General features: G+C 43.8%; 1 protein-coding gene across 3 annotated transcripts in view, besides 3 other annotated features; it reads right to left on the bottom strand.

Annotated features, from left to right (window-relative positions):
• The window catches only part of SART3 (spliceosome associated factor 3, U4/U6 recycling protein), a 38,960-nt gene continuing 19,695 nt past the window's right edge, over nucleotides 415-19,679 (bottom strand). For all 3 annotated transcript variants that reach the window (NM_014706.4, NM_001410983.1, XM_047429916.1), the window contains 13 exons: nucleotides 17,135-17,290; nucleotides 16,266-16,404; nucleotides 15,689-15,796; nucleotides 14,909-14,986; nucleotides 14,715-14,773; nucleotides 13,560-13,669; nucleotides 10,423-10,535; nucleotides 9,405-9,481; nucleotides 8,343-8,511; nucleotides 4,300-4,754; nucleotides 3,658-3,810; nucleotides 2,517-2,707; nucleotides 415-1,835 (listed from right to left, as the gene is read on the bottom strand). In NM_014706.4, the coding sequence (NP_055521.1) occupies nucleotides 1,658-1,835; nucleotides 2,517-2,707; nucleotides 3,658-3,810; nucleotides 4,300-4,754; nucleotides 8,343-8,511; nucleotides 9,405-9,481; nucleotides 10,423-10,535; nucleotides 13,560-13,669; nucleotides 14,715-14,773; nucleotides 14,909-14,986; nucleotides 15,689-15,796; nucleotides 16,266-16,404; nucleotides 17,135-17,290 (1,986 nt within the window). In that variant the 3' untranslated portion in view covers nucleotides 415-1,657. The remainder of the gene's footprint in view (nucleotides 1,836-2,516; nucleotides 2,708-3,657; nucleotides 3,811-4,299; nucleotides 4,755-8,342; nucleotides 8,512-9,404; nucleotides 9,482-10,422; nucleotides 10,536-13,559; nucleotides 13,670-14,714; nucleotides 14,774-14,908; nucleotides 14,987-15,688; nucleotides 15,797-16,265; nucleotides 16,405-17,134; nucleotides 17,291-19,679) is intronic.
• Nucleotides 2,797-3,996: an enhancer, noted in NCBI's record as "CDK7 strongly-dependent group 2 enhancer chr12:108918373-108919572 (GRCh37/hg19 assembly coordinates)". NCBI's record gives its function as "activates an origin of replication core promoter dependent on BRD2, BRD4, P300/CBP, MED14 and CDK7 cofactors, with strong dependence on CDK7, by STARR-seq in HCT116 cells {active_cell/tissue: HCT116}" and the evidence as "EXISTENCE:reporter gene assay evidence [ECO:0000049][PMID:35650434]".
• Nucleotides 18,300-18,500: a silencer, noted in NCBI's record as "peak1936 fragment used in MPRA reporter construct". NCBI's record gives its function as "represses an SCP1 promoter by STARR-seq MPRAs in K562 erythroleukemia cells {active_cell/tissue: K562}" and the evidence as "EXISTENCE:reporter gene assay evidence [ECO:0000049][PMID:32103011]".
• Nucleotides 19,582-19,641: an enhancer, noted in NCBI's record as "active region_6962". NCBI's record gives its function as "activates an Ori minimal core promoter by ATAC-STARR-seq in GM12878 lymphoblastoid cells {active_cell/tissue: GM12878}" and the evidence as "EXISTENCE:reporter gene assay evidence [ECO:0000049][PMID:35858748]".

Below are 19,679 nucleotides of genomic sequence, written 5' to 3' on the forward strand. Positions count from 1 at the left end.
CACAGAGAACACTGCAGGAGGAACGCGTGGGACAGCAAAGGTTCTTGCTGCTGTCAATAGCCGCCGCTTGAATTTAATTCAGAAGTAAAGCCTAGTAAAAAGTTGGTTTTGTATAAAAAAGAGATGGAGGGGAACCTACCTTTTAAGACTTAAGAGGCTTACCAACCAATAATTTACAGGGAGGAGAGCTGATATTTGTAGGAAGGTGGAAATTTGAGTGGACAGTTGATGACATGAAGGGATTACCACTAATGTTTCTAGGAGTGAAGGCCTTTCAGTCCTCCTGAGACACCTGCCGCAACATTACTGGATGAGCACAATGACATCTGGAACGTGCCTCAATATAACAGAGGGTGGAGGGGAAACAGACATGAAGGAAGAGGGGCTGGGAGTTGAGGAATGCTGGAAGCTGAATGGTAGGCACACAGGAGTTTATTTTACTGTTCTGTCTACTTTTTAATCGGTTATATTAAAAAATGTTAAGTTAAAAAAATATAGAAAACCCGACTGATGCACAAAAACTTAAACTTACGCAACAGATAAATGAGGAGTTGATTCCCACGACATATACAAGGATTCCCTGACGTCTTTCTCCAGAGTGTCTTAATAAAGCAAGCTTCCCCTACTGAACTGGCCAATGCTGTTGCTGTTTTCAAAGCAGTAAATATTATTTGATAAAAGATGTGAGGTAAAAAAGCTCAAAAGCTCCAGTGTCAAACTGCTATAAAATGAAGACACATCACAGCTGGAATAATTTAAATCAAAGTGACAATGGGATTTGACTTACAAAAGTTCTATTTACACATCTATTAGGTAAAGCAAGGTACACCCACTTCAAAACACATCTGTATGTGAATGCACATCTGAGTACCATTCAGCAAGAAGTTTTGAAGAGAACGTCAGTTTAATAAAGCTAAATGGGGAGAATTGAAGTTTGCATTTGACATGGTATTAAACAAAACCAAAGGGCTGAAACTCATGTTTAGACAACACAGGTCACTAGTCACTAGGCAAAGAAAACAGTCCACAGCAGGTGGCACAAATAATTCCTATACAAAACAAATGTTGCAAATATTCTGCTTTTAGGAAACATGAAACAATGGCTGACATGTCATTTACAAACACATAATATAAAAATGCACAGCCCCATTGAACAAAACTCCAGCAAATGTTTTATAGCTGACTTCCCTCAGACCCACCCCCACAAGAGGCCATTCTGTGAATTACTAGCATCTGCCATTTCATCTTTTAAAATTAAAAGAATGACGGGCACATGTGCTGTGCAGGGTGGAAGAGAAGTGTCATACAAAAAGGGGCCGGAGCTGGCCAGAAACATTTGGACAACTGTGTCTCAAAAACAGTGTGTTCTCGTTTCGCTTCTGTGCCTCAGTCTTTAAGATACAAAACTATCTCAGGACACCACATCCTGGGCCCAGCCTGCAGAGTGGTCACTTTTCTGCCACTGCCCTCAATATGAGGGAGCACTGAAAGGCTCTTGACTTAGAACCCCTTCCCCTTTCTGTCTAAAGCCGAGGAGCCATCTGTGGTTGCGAGCACGCAGCACACCAGGCCTGTCCATCCCCAGTGCACTGCTGGGTGGTGGGAGGTCCGCCGGGCCAGAGTGAAGTAAGGCATTTCCTGTCTCCCAGCGTCCCGTTCACTTTCTCAGAAACAGCTTGGCAAAATCGGCATTGGACATCTTGGGTGCCTCGGTGGCTGCTGGGGCGGCAACTGCAGGAGCCGCGGCAGGGCCGTTCTCAGCCTGAGGAGCTGCAGCACTTGGGCGCTGCAGGGCACGAGGCAGTAGAGACAGCTGCGTCCTTCCCTTCCCCCTCCTAAAAGAGCAAACACTGAATGGACCTTTTGAAGCAACAATTCGTGGCCCCTCATTTATTTGTGAAAATAAGCCAAGACAGTTTTAATATAACCAGAAGTTAAAAGGTGAAAAAAAAAAAGGATAAGATAATCCCTGCCTCCTTAATTCTGTTTATGAAGTAAAAACTGCTTCAACAGACTTGGCCTTGTTCAGTTTTGGCAAAGATCAACCCTGAGCACCAGTCACACTCAGAGGGGATCAGTGTGACTATCACCTCTCAGACCTCACCAGTCACCTGGCAATTCTGCTATCTCCTCCTCATCCCAAACCAGCGAACAGCACAGCTTATGTGGATCATAGCTAGGGCCGTAGACTGGCACACACATGGGTATGAGATTTCTTTGTAAACACACAGATCCAACTGGCAAAGGGGACTTTAAAATAATCACTGCCTTATTTCTGTCTGAAATAAATGACAAGTGTAAATTGGCCAGTACCAGGCAGAGGTCACTGCCTAGGCTTGCATCCTGCTCTGGACGCCTTGCTCCAGTGGAACCACAGTGATTACCACAAGGAACAGCACATCTTGGCTTTTCTGTCCTAACAGGAAGCTAATTCATCCCGGGTTAATCCCCCCGTGATCCATGAACTGGTGCCAGCCAGGACGAAGTTTGCACTAGTCTACCATGCAAGCACTTACGCTCCGTATGTCTGCGGCAAAAGCATGGGGCCACCTGGTGCCTTCCTGGTCTCCGGCTTCTCTGGAACTTTCCTCTGAGGAGGGTTGCTGATTGCCACTTTGATGATGTTCTCTTTGATAGTCATGCCGTCCATCTTCATCACAGCCTGCGACGCCTGGGATTCATTTTCATACTCCACGTAGGCCAGGCCCTGGAAGAGGCAAGATCCAGAACCAAGTCAGATCCCGCAGACTAGGGACGCAACCTCCTCCTGCAGGGCAGGCACTGGGCTTCCTCCCGGAGACCAGCAGACCAGGCCACAGCAAACGACCCACCAACAGGTTACCTTCCCCACCACCGCATCCTCTGTCTACAGGCTTATTTCCCCACCCTACTCTCCTTCCCGAGTGCTGCTATGCACTGTAACTTCAGATAACCCTTCCAAGTTCAGCACACCTTGTACGTGCTGCAGAAGTAGAAAGAAAGAAGGAAAAAGACAGATGGACCAGTATAAATCCAGCAAATAAACCAAGAGGTGGATGGGACACAGGGCCAGCAGCCCAGGTGCCCAGGTGAGCCCTCGTGTTTCTGTGCCTTCACCCGCTCCCTCATTTCATCCTCTTTTTCTCTCCATTAACCTGGATAAAGGGGAGGGAGAGTGGGCAGTGGGTAGACAGTAATGAAACCACTTACTACTCAAAATGGGGCACAAAAGGACTTAGCAGGAGACTGAGGGGGCAAGAAGGAAAGACAGGAGAAGAGGCACTGCAATGGAGGGACTCAAGGGGCCTGGTTGGAGGCCCCAGAGAAAGAGAGGCCTGGGACAGAGGGAGAAGGCTGCAGGAGGGCGCCCACCCCAAAGCCCGTATGCTGCTGGTCACAGGGCTTCCCCCAAGCCCCACAGCCAGGGGCCATAGTGTGGTGAATTCATGATCCTCTATTTCCAAGTGTCTTATTCTTTTTAGTACAATTAACTACAAACAGGTTAATCTGACTCCAAATATAAGTAGAGCTAAGTGCAGATCTTTCTGTGAAATTAACTTTTGTTTCTCAGCAGACAAACTAGGAACCCATTCTAGAGGTTAAATCATCTTTGAACCGATACAGAAACGAAGTTTGCCCAAGCCTTGAAGACAAGGCACAATCTGCTCTGACTCTGACCTTTGGTTTGCCAGCCCGGTTGGTGACCAGCCTGAGGTCCTTCACGGTGCCATGAGCCTTACAGATTTCTTCTAGTTCCTCTTTAGTACAGGAGAAAGGCAGGCCTGAGATGAACAGCTTGTGTTTCTCTAGGGAAGTGCTGTACCTGAACACCTATAGGAAGAAGGAAGACAGAGAAAAACCATGATTCGAGGCATGACCCAGCTCACCTGACTCCTCTGACACCAGCCTTGTCCCCATGAGCAGCCCAGCCAGGCAGACTAGAGCCAAGCCATGCTCTGAAACTTGTTAATGGGGCCACCGGAGCGAGTCACTTAACCTCTCCAGGCCTCCATGTCTTCCTCTGTAAAACGGCAAGAATAAAAGTAACCATTCACAGAGTCTCATGAGGAGTCAATGAGCTGACACACATAAAGCATTCAGCACAGTCCCTTGTCATTGCTAAGCACCCAGCAAGAAGGAGCCATGCCATGAGTCAGACCTCAGTCAACCGGCTCAGGATGGACCTTGGCTCACAAGGAAGTTTAGATCCAAACAGAGCGTAAAACTTCCATGTCTATCCTAAATATCACTGCTGCAGGAAGAAAGTGCCTGTCTAAAGCAACCACAGATGAAAGGCATTCTTTTTTTCCATAAACCTACCTTAAAATCGGGGTTTTTGCTCTTATCCACACAGGGGGAAACAAACATTGGCCTCCCTTCTACACTTTTCCGGTCCATCTCCAGTGCCTGAAGGGCTGATTTCTCTTCTTTAAACTCCACGTAGCAGTAACCTCGGAAATCCCCACGGTTGCTGAAGATGGGTCGGATCTGGACCACCTCCCCACAGGCCTCGAAGAGTGGCCTGAGCTTCGTGTCCGGCTCCTGCATGCTGTAGGGCAGGTTGCTGACAAAGACGGTGATGCTGTCCTTGCTGCTGTCGTGCAGCACCTTGGGCATGTCCCTCTTCAGGGAGGCTGCCTTCTCCTTCTGCTTCGAAGGGGGCTCCACATCTACGGCAGCACATTTCCCAGCGGGCCCTGCTGCTACTTCTACATTTTGTGTTTCTCCAGCTGCAGGGATGCTGTTCTCGACCCTTCTGCGTTTGGAAGGCTGCTCTACAGGTTTTCAAAAGAAAAGTAGCCATGGTTAACTGTTACTTCTCTTCAGGGAGCTTGAACAGAGGTGTGAAGTGAAAGTGCTGTGACAGCTGCATGTGACACTTACTCCCTCACCAGACTCGGAGGGGCAAGCACCACCCCGAGAAGTCTTTTGTGATCCGCCTGACCTGTCCCACGACTTTCTGTGCCCCAATTACACTCGGGTAAGTGGGCTCAATCAAGTGGAAGTAATAACATAAATCCCCATTGTCCACTCTTAATTATACAAAAGGTCAGTGGATCTCAAAGTTCAGAAGGCAAATTCCAGGGCCCCTCTCCTACAAAGCCCAGATCAGCAGGGTTGGGATAGGACATGAGAATCTGCACTGGAAAAGCACCCTAGTGACTGATACCCGTGCCCCAGGGAGCACATTTTGGAAAGCACTACAAAGGATCTGTGGTTTCTAAAACACTTTCAATATGGCCTTGTGTCCTTAAGAGAGCTTAACCACAATCTTCTACTGCAGTCTGTCCTCACCACTGCCTCCAGAGGGCCAGTACTGAAGCTCAACAGACATCAGCCTCCGGCAAACAGACCTCCCCATCAGTTCACCCGCTGCCTTTCCAATGCAACGTAAGCCCTGCACACTGCTACTGTATTCAAGAGTGTCCCTGGGCTGGGTCCAGCTGACTGGCCCACCTACCACTCCAGCCTCCTCGACCACTGCCCCACCCCTCTCTAATGCATCTGAGTTCAAACCCAATTATCTGCTGCTCACAGAAAATGCCAGGCTGTGCTGTGCCTTCAGGCTGTACTAACATTGGCTCCTCCCTGTGTAGCTCAGACCTTCCCTTCTCGCTGCCACAGTCACTCGGTCTTCCCCCTGGATGCCGCATCTCTTCCCCCACAGTCTTCCTGGTACGAAGTTGACCCACTAGTGCCTTCTTTGGCCTCCACCAGTATTAACAATGCCATCTCCCACAGTCCTGATCACACGCCATGCCCTGATCACACACCACTGCGGTCACACATCACATTTGCCTTATTCTGCCAAACTGGGAGGCCAGTGGAGCAATGAGCCATCCTCAGTCATTTAGGAAAGCCCAAACAAGGTGTGCAAGCAAGGTCAACTCAACGATGGATGACTCCATTCCCAGTTCTCTCTGGCTCACACATCTGTATTAAGAAAGTATACAGAGTCCTTTCAAGTCCAGAGACAATTCTTTTTTTTGTTTTGTTTTGTTTTTGAGACAGTGTCTTGCTCTCTCTCCCAGGCTGGAGTGCAACGGCATGATCTCTACTCATTGCAACCTCTGCCTCCCGGGCTCAAGTAATTCTCCTGTCTCAGCCTCCCGAGTAGCTGGGAAAACAGGCACCCGCCACCACAGCCAACTAATTTTTGTATTTTTAGTAGAGGCAGGTTTTCACCATGTTGGCCAGGTTGATCTTGACCCCTGACCTCAGGTGATCCGCCCACCTCAGCCTCCCAGAGTGCTGGGATTACAGGCATGAGCTACCGCGCCCAGCCACCAGAGACAATTCTTTACCTTGACTGACTCTCTGAAATAAATATGACCCAGAGCTGCCCGTCCCTGAAATTACAAGGGTGAAAGAAACACTGCTGGAAAATTCCACTAAGTCAGAACCATTAAAAGCAGGGCCAAGGCCAGGTGCAGTGTCTCATGCCTGTAATAACAGCACTTTGGGAGGCCAAGGCGGGAGGATCACTTGAGGTCAGGAGTTCAAGACCAGCCTGGCTAACATGGTGAAACCCCGTCTCTACTAAAATACAAAAATTAGCTGGGCATGGTGGCTGGCAAAGTGTAATCCCAGCTACTTGGAAGGCTGAAGGAAGAGAATCACTTGAACCCAGGAGGCGGAGGTTGCAGTGAGCCGAGATCACGCAACTGCACTCCAGCCTGGGCGACAGAGCGAGACTCCCTCTCAAAAAAAAAAAAAAAAAAAAGTAGGGCCAAGCCTGGCAGGTCTGTGCAGGGTTGGGGCTGCAGCAGTGGTGCGGGATGCTAGAGCCTGAATGGAAGGAAGAAGACAGGCAGGCATGGGGCAGTGACAGGGACCCAGCAGCCTAGATCTGGAAGCCTGAGTGAAAGAAGCAAGGGTGTCCATGCAGGGCCGTGCCTGGCCCCGGGTGTGGGAGACCAAACAGGGTGGGGATGGCACATATGAGAAGGGGAGGCAGGCACAGGAAGTTGATTACATACCTACAGGGGCCGGGTGGAGTAACTGAGGATGCTGAGAATAGAGGGAGCCAAGTTTCTCAAGGTCAGAGAAGGGCGTGACACAGCTGGGCACAGTGGCTCACACCTGTAATCCCAGCACTTTGGGAGGCCGAGGCAGACAGATCACTTGAGGCCACAAGTTCAAGACCAGCCTGGCCAACATGGCGAAACCTGATCTCTACTAAAAATACAAAAAATTAGCCAGGTATGATGGTGCATGCCTGTAATCCCAGCTACTTGAGAGGCTGAGGCACAAGAATCACTTGAACCCGGGAAGCGGAGGTTGAAGTGAGCCAAGATCACCCCACTGCACTCCAGCCTGGGCAACAAAGCGAGACTCTGTCTCAAAAATAAATGAATAAATAAATTTTAAAAAGAGAGAGAAGGGCATTGCAAGTGTGAAGGGGAACCCTGTGGTGTTAGACCGGAACTGGAGGTATTGGTGTGAAATCATGACTTTCAGTATATACAAATAGTTACACAAGTAAATATGGTCATAAATATGTGTACACATGCACACGCACACGCACACACACACACACTCCCTACCCTCGACCACTCAGGCCTCAGAACAATAACCAACAGCAGTGAGCACAACTAGCACCTTCTAAATACCACTCATCACTCAAAGGAACCTTGGAGAAATGATGGATTCCAGGGCTGAGTTATGGAAAGTATAAGATGACCCTTGGGTATTGTGTGCTAGAAGGTAAGGAAATGATCAAAGAACAAGGGGACAGGTCAAAGGGACATAGAAGCCTGTGTGAAGGAACTCTTGCTAGCCAAACCTGGGATAAGTAGAGAATCAGCATAAATAATTCTCAAAAGGGTCATCACCAGTGATGGAACAAAGCGAATCACAGTCCACCTGATGGGACTCAATGGGCAGGCCACAGGAGCACTTGTGCACTATTCCTGCCCGAGATGCATGAGTGGAATCCAATGCTTAGGGAGCATCAGACACACCCAGGCTGAGGGGCACAACACAGCAACTGGCCTGCCCCCTTACAAGACTGCAGGTCATCAGAGTAAAAAAAAAAAGCTGAGGAGTGCTCCAGACTCAAGGAGATCCAGGAGACAGGACAACTAAACACAATAGTGCATCCTGAACCGGATCCTTTCACTACAAAGGACATTATCAGGATAAATGGGAACCCATAGCTCATTGCTAACCCCGGCTCTGATGGCTGCATTCTAGTCATGTAGAAGAGGGCCCCTTGTTTGCAAGACATACACCCTAACAGTGATCAAAGGGTAATGGGTATCAAGCTGGTAACGGTTCAGGGAAGAAAGTTCTTCATACTGTATTCGCAACTTCTCTAACTTTAAGACGTTTCAAAACACAATTTCTCAAGAGCTCCTTACCTTCTTCATCATCGCCCCACTCTTTCTCATCATCCTCATCTGCTCCGCGCTTCTCTGGGCCTCTGATCTTTTTCTTCTTTTTTAACGCTTTCTTCTCAGCCCGAGCTCTTTTCCGTTGTTCAGCCTTTTCTTCTTCTTGCTGCACAAGGGCTGCTTCCTTCTCTGCAGCCTAGAAAAGTGGGAAGATGATGCATCGCTGGATGTGGCAATTACATTCACTGTACTGATTTGTCATGAAAGGGGAGAAGGAGTGGAAATTCATTACTAATGAAAAGCAGAGATCAGGAGAAAAACGTGGACAGGCTCACGGCTGTTCCACACCAGGGCTCATTCAGGTTCGTTGGAATTCTGGATCTGATGTCTCTGTTACATTAGCAATTTCCTCACCCTAATCATTACTCACCAAAAGGAAGGCAAAAAAATCCATAAAACTGGCCGGGCGCGGTGGCTCACGCCTGTAATCCCAGCACTTTGGGAGGCCGAGATGGGTGGATCACGAGGTCAGGAGATCGAGACCATCCTAGCTAACATGGTGAAACCCCATCTCTACTAAAAAAATACAAAAAATTAGCTAGGTGTGGTAGCGGGCACCTGTAGTCCCAGCTACTCGAGAAGCTGAGGCAGAAGAATGGCGTGAACCCGGGAGGCAGAGCTTGCAGTGAGCCGAGATCATGCCACTGCACTCCAGCCTGGGCAACAGAGCGAGACTCCGTCTCAAAAAAAAAAAAATCCATAAAACTGAAGCCCTAAATAAGTTGGGGTGTTCATGTTCCACTCACTAGGCTAAGTGAGGCTCTTCTTTATTCTTTTTCATCAATTCTCGTAAATTTTAGAGCCAAAATTCCCTCACTAAATGAAACAAGTACTTAATATTGGGGCTGATGTTTTAGAACAATGTAAAAATGACACAAGACAGGTTTAAGCATTGATCTAAATATTTTATAATTAATACTGAGTAAAAGACACTTAGGAAAATGTAAAACATCTTGACAAGAAACATCCATACCAAACTGAGCCAAAATAGCTACCAGAGGTGCCAAAGACTTCAAACATTGTCATTACCTTCATTCTCTGCTCATTGACACGAGCTAATCGGGTTTCAGTTTTCTGAACAGCTATATCCCAATCTTCTAAAGAACCTTGAAAGAAAGAGAAGCAAAACTTTCACTCTTTAGGATTTTGAAGGATACAATCACATAAATTTTTCTTAATTTCTCTGTACCTCCAGAAGAGATCTCTCCCATCAAACAATAAGAAAATGTAATCCCTGTAGGCTTGAAGTTCAGAATTCAAATAGTCCTTCTAAGTGGGTTTAAAATGTCCCTCTCCTTTCAGGAGAGACTTGAAAACCAGAATATGATCTATTAAGGGCTCTAAATGGCAAAGAATATGAAAACGAACGTTCTAATGCAAAAGTACATTTATATTAAGACTGAAGAATTTTAAGAGCTACTCAAATGTTGAGGCATTTATTTCTTATTTTTTGGTGGTCTTTGCAAGCCAGTTCTGAGGGGTCCATACCCAAAATCCAGACCAATACCCACAGATAAGTTCACATTATTTTTCTATTGGTTCTAGCTAACACTGAAGGCTCTGAAATTTAACAAGGGATGCAAAGGACACATTGAGCCATTTGCCTCTCCAAGCTCCTTTGTTGGATAGATGTTGTACTAGAGCACAGTGACTCTCAAAGGAGGGATCCTGCCCATCAAGAGACATTTGGCAATGTTAAGAGACATTTCTGGTTGTCATGTTTGGTTGTGGTGGTGAAGCTGCTACTGGCATTTCAGGGCTAGAAGCCAGGGATGCCCCTAAACATTGTATAACGCACAGTCCCCCCCACAGAGAATTAGAACCCTGTGCTACAGTGACATCACAGAGTCCTCCTTGTAGCTGCAGAATTTGAGAAGAGCTGCAGGAGGACTCATTTTCAGGACACTTGTGACAGTCTAATCATAGGGCACCACCTAAGGTGGCAGCATAAACACAGTCTGTCCCCAGACTGTAACCAGATGCTCCTACTTGAGACCAAACAGCAAATGGGTTAGGCTCCAAGCCAGAAGAGAGCTGGGGGTCCCACCTTCTGTCCTCTCCATGGTGAGTAACACTTCGCAGACGTGCTCTGGGTAGTCACTGGTGCACTGGACGGCCCGGTGCAGAGCCTTCCGGCAGTGCTGGGTGTCACCATGAGCTCTAAGGCAGAAAACAAAAAGTTGCTGCCACCAGGACACAAAGTGGAAGGCACTCGAAGGGAGAGGCCGTCTTCTCCCAGGTAGAAACTCACTCTTCAGTAACTCTAGCTTCTGAGAAGACCTTAGCTTTCAGATCTATCCATGATGCTTTCTCCTTCCAGAGTCTCTACAGTCACCTACGAAGTATTTCCCTGAAGCACTCTCTCCCTCAGCCATGTAGGGGCTACTGGAAAGTGTACCTGATATTGTGATCTGCAACCAGCATTCTGCCTTTACAGCATTCACATGTGCGGCACATGGCGGGGGAGTCCAACAGCTCTCTGTAACCTGATACAGTCCCCAGGGAAATTTTACTATGGCGTCCTACTGACAGGAGAGTTATGAATCCAGGGTAGTGTCAAATTTCATACCCAGAGTCAGATCTTTTTTTTTTTTTTGAAAGGGAGTCTCGCTCTTGTCACCCAGGTGGGAGTGCAATAGCACGATCTCGGCTCACTCCAACCTCTGTCTCCCAGGTTCAGGCAATTCTCCTGCTTCAGCCTCCTGAGTAGCTGGGATTACAGGTGCCCACCACTACACCCAGCTAATTTTTGTATTTCTAATAGAGACAGGTTTTCACCAGGTTGGCAAGGCTGGTCGCAAACAGATCCTTTTTGTACACTGCTAATCACAACAGCTACACAATTCTGCTAATCATAACTGTTATGCAACAGTGTATTCATATTTGTTTTTAAAACATTTTAAATATACATAATTATATATACATATTATGATGCTCAGAATAAATTCAGAGCACTGGTTCTCAAAGTAAGATCCACGTACCCCTGAGGATCTCCCAGAGCCTCTCAGGGGCCCTGCAAAGTCAAAACTCCTTTTATAATAATACCAAGACATTACTGGACTTTTTCACTGTGTTGACATCTTCAAGACAGTGCACAAGTAATGGTGGCCCTTAGCACAAATCAAGGCAGTAGAAATCTTTTTAATGCACTGTGTGATGAAATACTAAGTACACTTAAAGCCCTTCTGCATACTGAAGTACAATGGTTATTGCCAAAAAAAAAAAAAAAAGCATATTACTGTTTGAGTTGCAAGCTAATCAAGTCATTTTTTTCAAGGACACCATTTTTACTTGAAAGGAAACTTGAGTGACAAACCACGGTCAGTTACTCAGACCTGGGTATTTGGCAGACATTTTTGAAAATTAACAAAGTGAGGCTGCCACTCTGGGGAAAACCACTGACATTATTTGTTGCATGTGATAGAATTCAAGCTTTCAAGTGAAAATTAGAATTTTGGAAAACTTGTATCTGCCACCACAAGTCTGACAGCTTCCTACTTAAAATACTTTTCAACTAAGATCAATACAGATATGAACAAATACGATTTTTTAATACTATAGGATGAAATATGTCAACATTGGAAGAGCTGCATGATTTAGTGAATTGGGATTTTTCCAAATAATGTCGTAGAATTGTGGCATCAAGTAAAAGATAAAATAGACAAATGGGTATTACTGTAACAGACTCTGTCAATATGGTTTCAGATTCCACATGCAACACTGAAGTTTTGCTATAATATGTATGAAAGAAGAATACCCACAATTATCTGAAAATGCTTCTAAAATACCTTTCTTTCCTAACCTCTTCAATGAAAACAACAGATCACAACAGACAGAATCAGTAACAGACATGAGAATTTAGCTGTCTTCTCCTAGGTCAGAATAATGTGCAAATAAATATATTTGCAAAAATAGAAAACACTGCCACTTTTCTCACTATATTATTTTGGGGTCTGGAAAACAGTCACTGCTCAAAAAAGATATTAATGTTAGATAATTTGTTATATTTAAATAAATTAAAATGTTTTTTAGATTTCTCAATTTATAAATTATAAATATCAATAGATATAACTCACATACATAAAAGTTTTTTGGGATCCTCCAATTTTAAGAGTGGAAAATGGATCCTGAGACCAAAAAAATTGTGAACTGCAGATCTAGGGGGATATTCAACAAGCTTTAACAGTGGTTATCTCTGGGGTGGGATTGTAAGAAACTGTCACGTTTAGCCGGATATGGTGGCTCATGCCTGTAATTCCTACACTTTGGGAGGCCGAGGTAGGAGGATCACTTGAGGTCAGCATGACCTACATGGTGAAACTGTGCCTCTTCTAAAAAAAAAAAAAAATCCAAAAATTAGCCAGGTGTGGTGGTGCACGCCTGTAATCCCAGCTACTCAAGAGGCTGAGGCAGAAGAATTGCTCGAACCCAGGAGGCAAGGTTGCAGCTGAGACTGCACCACTGCACTTCAGCCTGGGCAACAGAGTGAGACTCCCCACCTCCCCCGAAAAAAGAAAAGAAACTGTCGCTTTCTATCACATATTTTTGTAAATATTCTAATTTGGGCACACAGTGTTTTTTAAATAGGGAAAAAATCTTCAAAAAAGAAAACCCAGCAATGTAGCAATGTTATGCAATGAACAACGTTCAAGACAGACTGAAAAGTTGGTCACATTCTTTATGTTTTCCCCATGTTATAAATATTGTTAGGCCTATCTTATTTCGTTCAAATAGTTTTAAAGGCTTGTAACACATGCATGCTATAATTGCATTTTCATTACAAAAAAATTTAAACATAGAAAAGTCTCAAAGAATGGGTCATGGTTATGACTGGGTCAGTAATTTGAGTTTTTTTTCTCTTAGCTTTTTAGTATTTTCTACTTTTCTATAAAAGCAAATATAAAAAACAAATAGCTCCAAAAGGTCAAATAAAATATCATGCCCAAAAATCAAGACAAAAACAAATTAAAAGAAATGCATGGCTATAAGAGTTCCAGGCACAAAATATCATGTCTGGTTCTCTAGCCCTGCCCATTAAAAATGTACCCACTACTGAAAGAGACAGAATGAAAGAAAACAGCCCAGTTCTAAGGAGCTAGTCCAAGCTGGTAGGAGTCAGCCAGGAGTGAAGACAGGTGCACAGCTGACAAGCACTGCCTCCCTCCCCACCCCGAGATCAGTTACCTTTCCAGGTTGTAATACTCTAGCCACATGTTGGCGTACTTGGCATTTCCTCTGGTCATGATGCTATCCCAGAGTTCCCGAGCTTTCTGCATGTTATTGCACAGTCGAGCCTAAAGTGCATCAGCAGGCTGTTAGGAGACCTGAACCTTATGACGTCGACACCCATCATACAACACACTTCCAACAGACACACATAAAAAGCACCCCACAACTATTAGTGTTACAGATGTCCCTGGGCATTCCCCAGGCCTCCCTCCAGTGGTAAACGACCCAGCCCAAACACTTGAGCCTTTCTGCAGCCACAAGCTAATCTACCTATGTTTCCTGAGAACCGAGAGAGGGAGCGCACGGTACTTACTCGACAGTACTAGATAGTCACGTTTTTTATTTTTATCAAGCTTAACTACAAGTGTTTGAGAGACAATGTTAAAAAAAAAAAAAAGACTGATCTAGTATTAAATGCACACTCTGCTACTAATACTTACAAACTGTGACTTGGGCAAATTACTTAACCTGTAATTCTCAGTTTTCTCATCTTTAAAATGGTTAAAAGATAAGCATCCCATATAAAAACTACCTGACAAATGTTAGTTTCTTCTATCTGACGCTCCCTCCGAGGAGAAAACATGATTAGAATTGTTACAATCCTACCTGCTGATCAAGGGAGGTTCCGTGTCTTACTGACCTTGGTGTCCCTGACCCAGTAATGACATTCAAGTCATCATATCCTCTAATTACTTGTCAAATCATCTGTCTTCTACATTAGATAGAAGCCTTACTAGCAAAGGAATTTTATCTGTCTTATTCCCACAGCACCTAGTACAGTGCTGACAAACAGTACACGCTCACTGTGCTCTCACAAATGAAGCAAAGAGGCAGAGACAGAAGTAAACGAGTGAATACCTAGCATCTAAACATTTACTGCACAACTTCTAGCTGGGAGCTAATATTTTCACCAACATATTTACAAATATATGTCAAGCTAGGTAAATAACATGAATCCTTGTGGAGCCTAGACCATTACCTAGGTAATAACATAAATCCTTATAGAGCTTAGGCCATTATCTGGGATTCTGACTCAATTTTAATTAAAGTTTAATAGGATGCTATTAAACAATGATGGATGAAAGTGCTAGATGTGTCAAAAACATTTACCTCAATCCTAGCCCAGTTCTGCATAATCACGCAGCTTGGATCACCACTCTCATTGAAACCTTCAAAAACAGAATTAGTAAAATTAGAAAGGAACTTGGAGACAGATAGTCGCTGGCTGAAAAGGTACATCAACCAGGAAATAGTACAGACAAGGAAATACAACTGGGCAAAACCACAGGCTGGGGCATACTTACGCTCTTCCACCTCCTGCTTCAGATACTCCAAGGCACGAGTAAAGGCGGCCCTCAACTCCTCCAGCTCTTTACTGGAGTCTAACGGAAAGTGCAAAAAAAGGCTTTAGGAAACCACATAGCCTGGCTTTGTTTTATTTTTTATCCTATGCTGAAACTGCCTGGAGACCCACTATGTACCTGGCATCATGCAAGGGACACAGAAATAAAATTGCCAATTCCTGCCCTCATCACATAGTTGGGGAGAAAGAAATTTGAACAGAATAGAGCATGGACAGCGTGGTGAAAAAGGCAAACACAGGGTGCTGTGGGGGGGAGTCTCCCCCAGCTGGGGTGACACAGGCAAACAAGAGAATGGCTAAAGGCTACCTGTATGAGGTGACAGCTGACATGAGTGTGCAAGTACAAGTTAGGGGTTTTCTGGTTGTTTTCGGGGGGACATGAAGGGGCAAAGGATCCCACAGAGGTACAAAGATTTTTCTAAAACACAGCAGACTTATTTCAAGAAGTATTTAGGATAAATAAAAAGACCTGAAAGGAGAAATGAGAGCTAAGACTAAAAAGGCTGGCAGGAGCCAGTATAAACGATTACTCTCTTGCTTTACAATCCACATCATGACTTGTTAAAGACAGAAATTGCTAAGATTTCTGGGGGAAAAAGTCACCAATACCTAGTCTACATCATTTGCCCAATCACAATGTATCTGGGGAACTGGGACATCTCGCCAAAAGTTGTATTAAGAACATGTTCAGCTCTAAAGTGAAAAACATGTGCTTAAATACCTTGTTTGAAATCAACCCTTCTCCTCAGGTAATCAAGGTATGCCTGCCAAATCTCCACATAATCAGTGGCCTGGATGAAGCCGGCATTCAAAGCTTTCTCGAAGGTTACTGGAGTTGGAGAAAAGTCAGGATTTGTTACCAATTCAAATGGAAACTAATAGAAAGTCACTACATTCTACTGACTATAAAACACTACATGACTTTAAAGACTAATAGATGCAACAGAATGAAATGAGCTAGACAGGAATGTTGAAGACAGAAGTTGCTACAGCACTCTACAGACTGTGTTCTAGAAAAAACTTCTTCCACAAGACGCCCTGCAAGAAAAGTTCCAGATCAAGGAAGTTTGGAGAAAACACTACAACTTCTTAGAAAATACAATGAATATTAGCATGTTAAAAAGCTCTAAGAAGCCACAAATATAACCAGTTCATCTCTCACTCAGAGCCCTTTTTGTCACTACACTCCATAACCCAAAGAAAACCCCAGGGAACACTGATGTAATGACTTTGTCACCGCTCTCTGTTTTTCACTTGGGACAAATAGCTTAGAAGTTCTCCCACAAAAACATCCGCACCAGAAATTACTTGATGATCAACTCCATGTCTCTCCATGGCCAAGAGGTACCGACTCCATAAGGCAACTGTCCAGGGGCAGTTTCTAATAGCGCGGTTATGTACAGATAAAACCAAATCCTTTACTTTCAGTTGTCGATCCTATGATAAAGAATTCCAGAGTTAGGAAATTACACTTTATTAAGCATTCACCATCAACAAGACATTGCCAGCACGACCAAGTGATGAAAGAAATGTCCTTATAAACATCTCTTGTGACCTGGTTTCCTCAACAACAACAAAAAAATCACTAAGGGGAGTGGAGGAGAAGGAGAGGAGCAACTTACAGGTTAAAACAGCCTTAAAAGACGTCAGCCAACCCTACTGGATAGACCTCATTTGGATCCTTTTATACAGACACACTGAAATATTTTATATACACATACTGAAATATTTACCAACGAAATATCATTTCTGGATTTGCTTCAAAGTAACACAGAAGGGACAAGTAGGTGAGACTACAGATCAAAGTAAACTAAAGCTATAAATGTTACTAATTGTTGAAGCTGGGTGAGGGGTACAGAAGTTTCATTTTACTGATCTGTCTACTTTTATATGTTTACATTTTTGCCATAATAAAAAGTTAAAAGAAAAATATCAAGTTGTTATAAGTCCTCAACACAGACAATATGCTCATTTTACTTACAGTTAGTGACCATTTTTAAATAACTTGAAACACTAAAACTTTCTAAACGAGTTGGCAAAGAGGAGAAAAAGCAGATGGAGGAAAAGCAAGAGTAGGGCCGTATGCAACAAACTCCTGGCACTCTTACTGATTTTAAGTAGATTCTAAATTGGCAAAAATAAAATGAAATTAGAACAGTGATCTTACTAGGTACTGACTGTAACGGATCCATAAGTCTGGGACAAGGCAGTTCTCGACCAGGGCGCGCTCAAAGATCAACTGAATGCGAGCAGGATCGCCAATTTTCATCTCAAAATCGATATATGCTTGATATTCTGCCAGCCTTGGTGCCTCTGCCTGCAACTGGAGTACAGGAAAATTGTATTGAATTTAGTTACTGGCAGGAAGCACAACACATCTGCAAATAAAATAAATTTTGGCAAAACTGGCTACAGTAACTATGAATCGCCAAATCCTCACTCTCAGAACCACTCCACTATGGCCTCTACAACTTCTTGAGCAAAACAAGAGTCTTCTCATCTGGTCCAAAGTGCCAGTTCATGGCAGTCGCTACAAAGGCTCCATAAACTCTTTTCTAAATCCATTCCTAGACCACAGGGAATTAAGTAGCCCATCAATCAGGAACTGAGTGAAAGAGCAACACCTTTGCCAGTGACCACTGTCAACCACCCTTCCAAACCAGAAGTCATGTTCTTGGGCTACTGAGTAGAGTTAATACAACCAAACTGGAAAATTTTGGTGCCTGATGCTATTTCAGGTTTCTTATTCCAAATATCAGTTCCTGGAAGAATGTAGATAAATGCAGAAGATGAAGGCAGCTGTGCTGAATGTTTAATGATCCAAAGACATACAATCAAATTCTTTTTAGAAAAAAATCTTATTCGACATGTTTTCTCTTCAGGCACATTTTGCTGATGGCCATGACATAATTGAATGATCGAAGTTTTGGGAAGCACAGGTACATGCAAATCATTTACACATGAAAAAGAAAGGATGAAGCAGTGCAGGAGAGTAAGAGAACACACAGACTCCATATGTAGAAAGGGGATGTTTCAGGGCCTCCATTTCCAGTAACGAGGAAGAATTAGTTACCCAGACACACTGTACCATTCAAAACAACTAAAACTGCTAAATTAAATATAATATCTTCTTAAAAGTCATCAACAAACTGGCAAAGAAACAAGAAATACTAAGGACTAAGGACAAAATCTAAATGAGGGTGGCAAGCTAAGTAAACATTAACCTTTTGCTGGCTTGACGTATATTAAGAATCTGACCTTCACAATCCTATTGTTGGCAAAGAAAGATAGAAAAAAAGAGTCAAGAAGCCCAAAAAACTTCAAGCCAGTCCACACATGGACCTACTGCAGTGAAATTAGAGGACAGCAAACCAAATCAATGAGATCTTAAAAGCAGTCAGACAAAAAAGTGACTACCTCTGAAGAAGCAAGATTTATACAAACCGCTGACTTCTCAACAGCAACAACAGACATCAGAAGACAGAAAGATACAATCAATTGCTGAGAGGACACATTGTCCGTCTAGAATTCTTTTGCTGTTGTCGGTCTAGAATTCTATAGCCTAAGAAAATAATTTTCAAGAAGGGAAGCAAAGACCTTTTTGAACACAGAAAATCTGTTACCAGCAAATCTCCCTTGCAGGGGACTCTAAAGGTCAAGTGTTGAAGACACTGGACAAATTTATAATATTATTATAAAGCTTTACAGAAAGACAAGATATAAGTAGCAGAAACCTATATATGTTCATAGATTGGAAGATGTAAATTATTCCCCAAATTGATCTCCAGGTTCAATGCAATTCCAATTAAAAAAAAAAAGATTTTAAAAATATAACTAGAAAAGCTGATTCTAAATCCGATGGAAGCATTGAAGGCAAAAAAAAAAAAAAAGCCAAGATCCTCTTGAAGAGGAAAAAGGTGGATGGGACTCACCCTATCCAAGAGCAAAACATTATAACTCTCATCATTACAACAGTGTAACATAAACCAGTGGGACAGAACAGAAAATCCAGAAGAAAGACCCACACATAAATGGACAGCTAATCTATGACAGATGTGGCACTGCACATCAGTGAGGGGAAGAAGGAATGATCAAACTCAGTACTAGAACAACTGGTTCTCCATATGGAAAAATGAAACCAGACGCAGTCTCATACCACTCAAAAATCAATCCCAGGTGGATGAGGGCCTAAATATGAAACAGAAAACTATAAAACTTTTAGAAGAAATTAGAGCTAAGTAGGGAATATTTTTTAAATAAGCACAACAAAAGCACAACCAAAAGGGAAAGAATTTTAATCTAATTGATCACTAAGAACTGTTCATCAAAAGACACTGTTAAAAAATAAAAAAGTGAAAAGGCAGTTGCAGTGACTCACGCCTGTAATCCCAGCCCTTTGGGAGGCTGAGGCAGGTGAATCACCTGAGGTCAGGAGTATGAGACCAGCCTGGCCAACATGGCGAAACCCCGTCTCTACTAAAAATACAAAAATTAGCGGGGCTTGGTGACAAGGGCCTATAATCCCAGCTAATTGGGAGGCTGAGGCAGGAGAATCGCTTGAACCTGGCGGGGCGGAAGTTGCAGTGAGCCGAGATCACGCCACTTCACTCCAGCCTGGGTGAAAGCGAAACTCCAGTCTCAAAAAAAAAGAAGTGAAAAGACAAACAACTGGGGAGAAAATCTGCAACACATACAGCCTAAAATAAGACTTA

The sequence above is a fragment of the Homo sapiens genome, chromosome 12 (assembly GCF_000001405.40).
Source record: "Homo sapiens chromosome 12, GRCh38.p14 Primary Assembly".
NCBI lineage: Eukaryota > Metazoa > Chordata > Mammalia > Primates > Hominidae > Homo > Homo sapiens.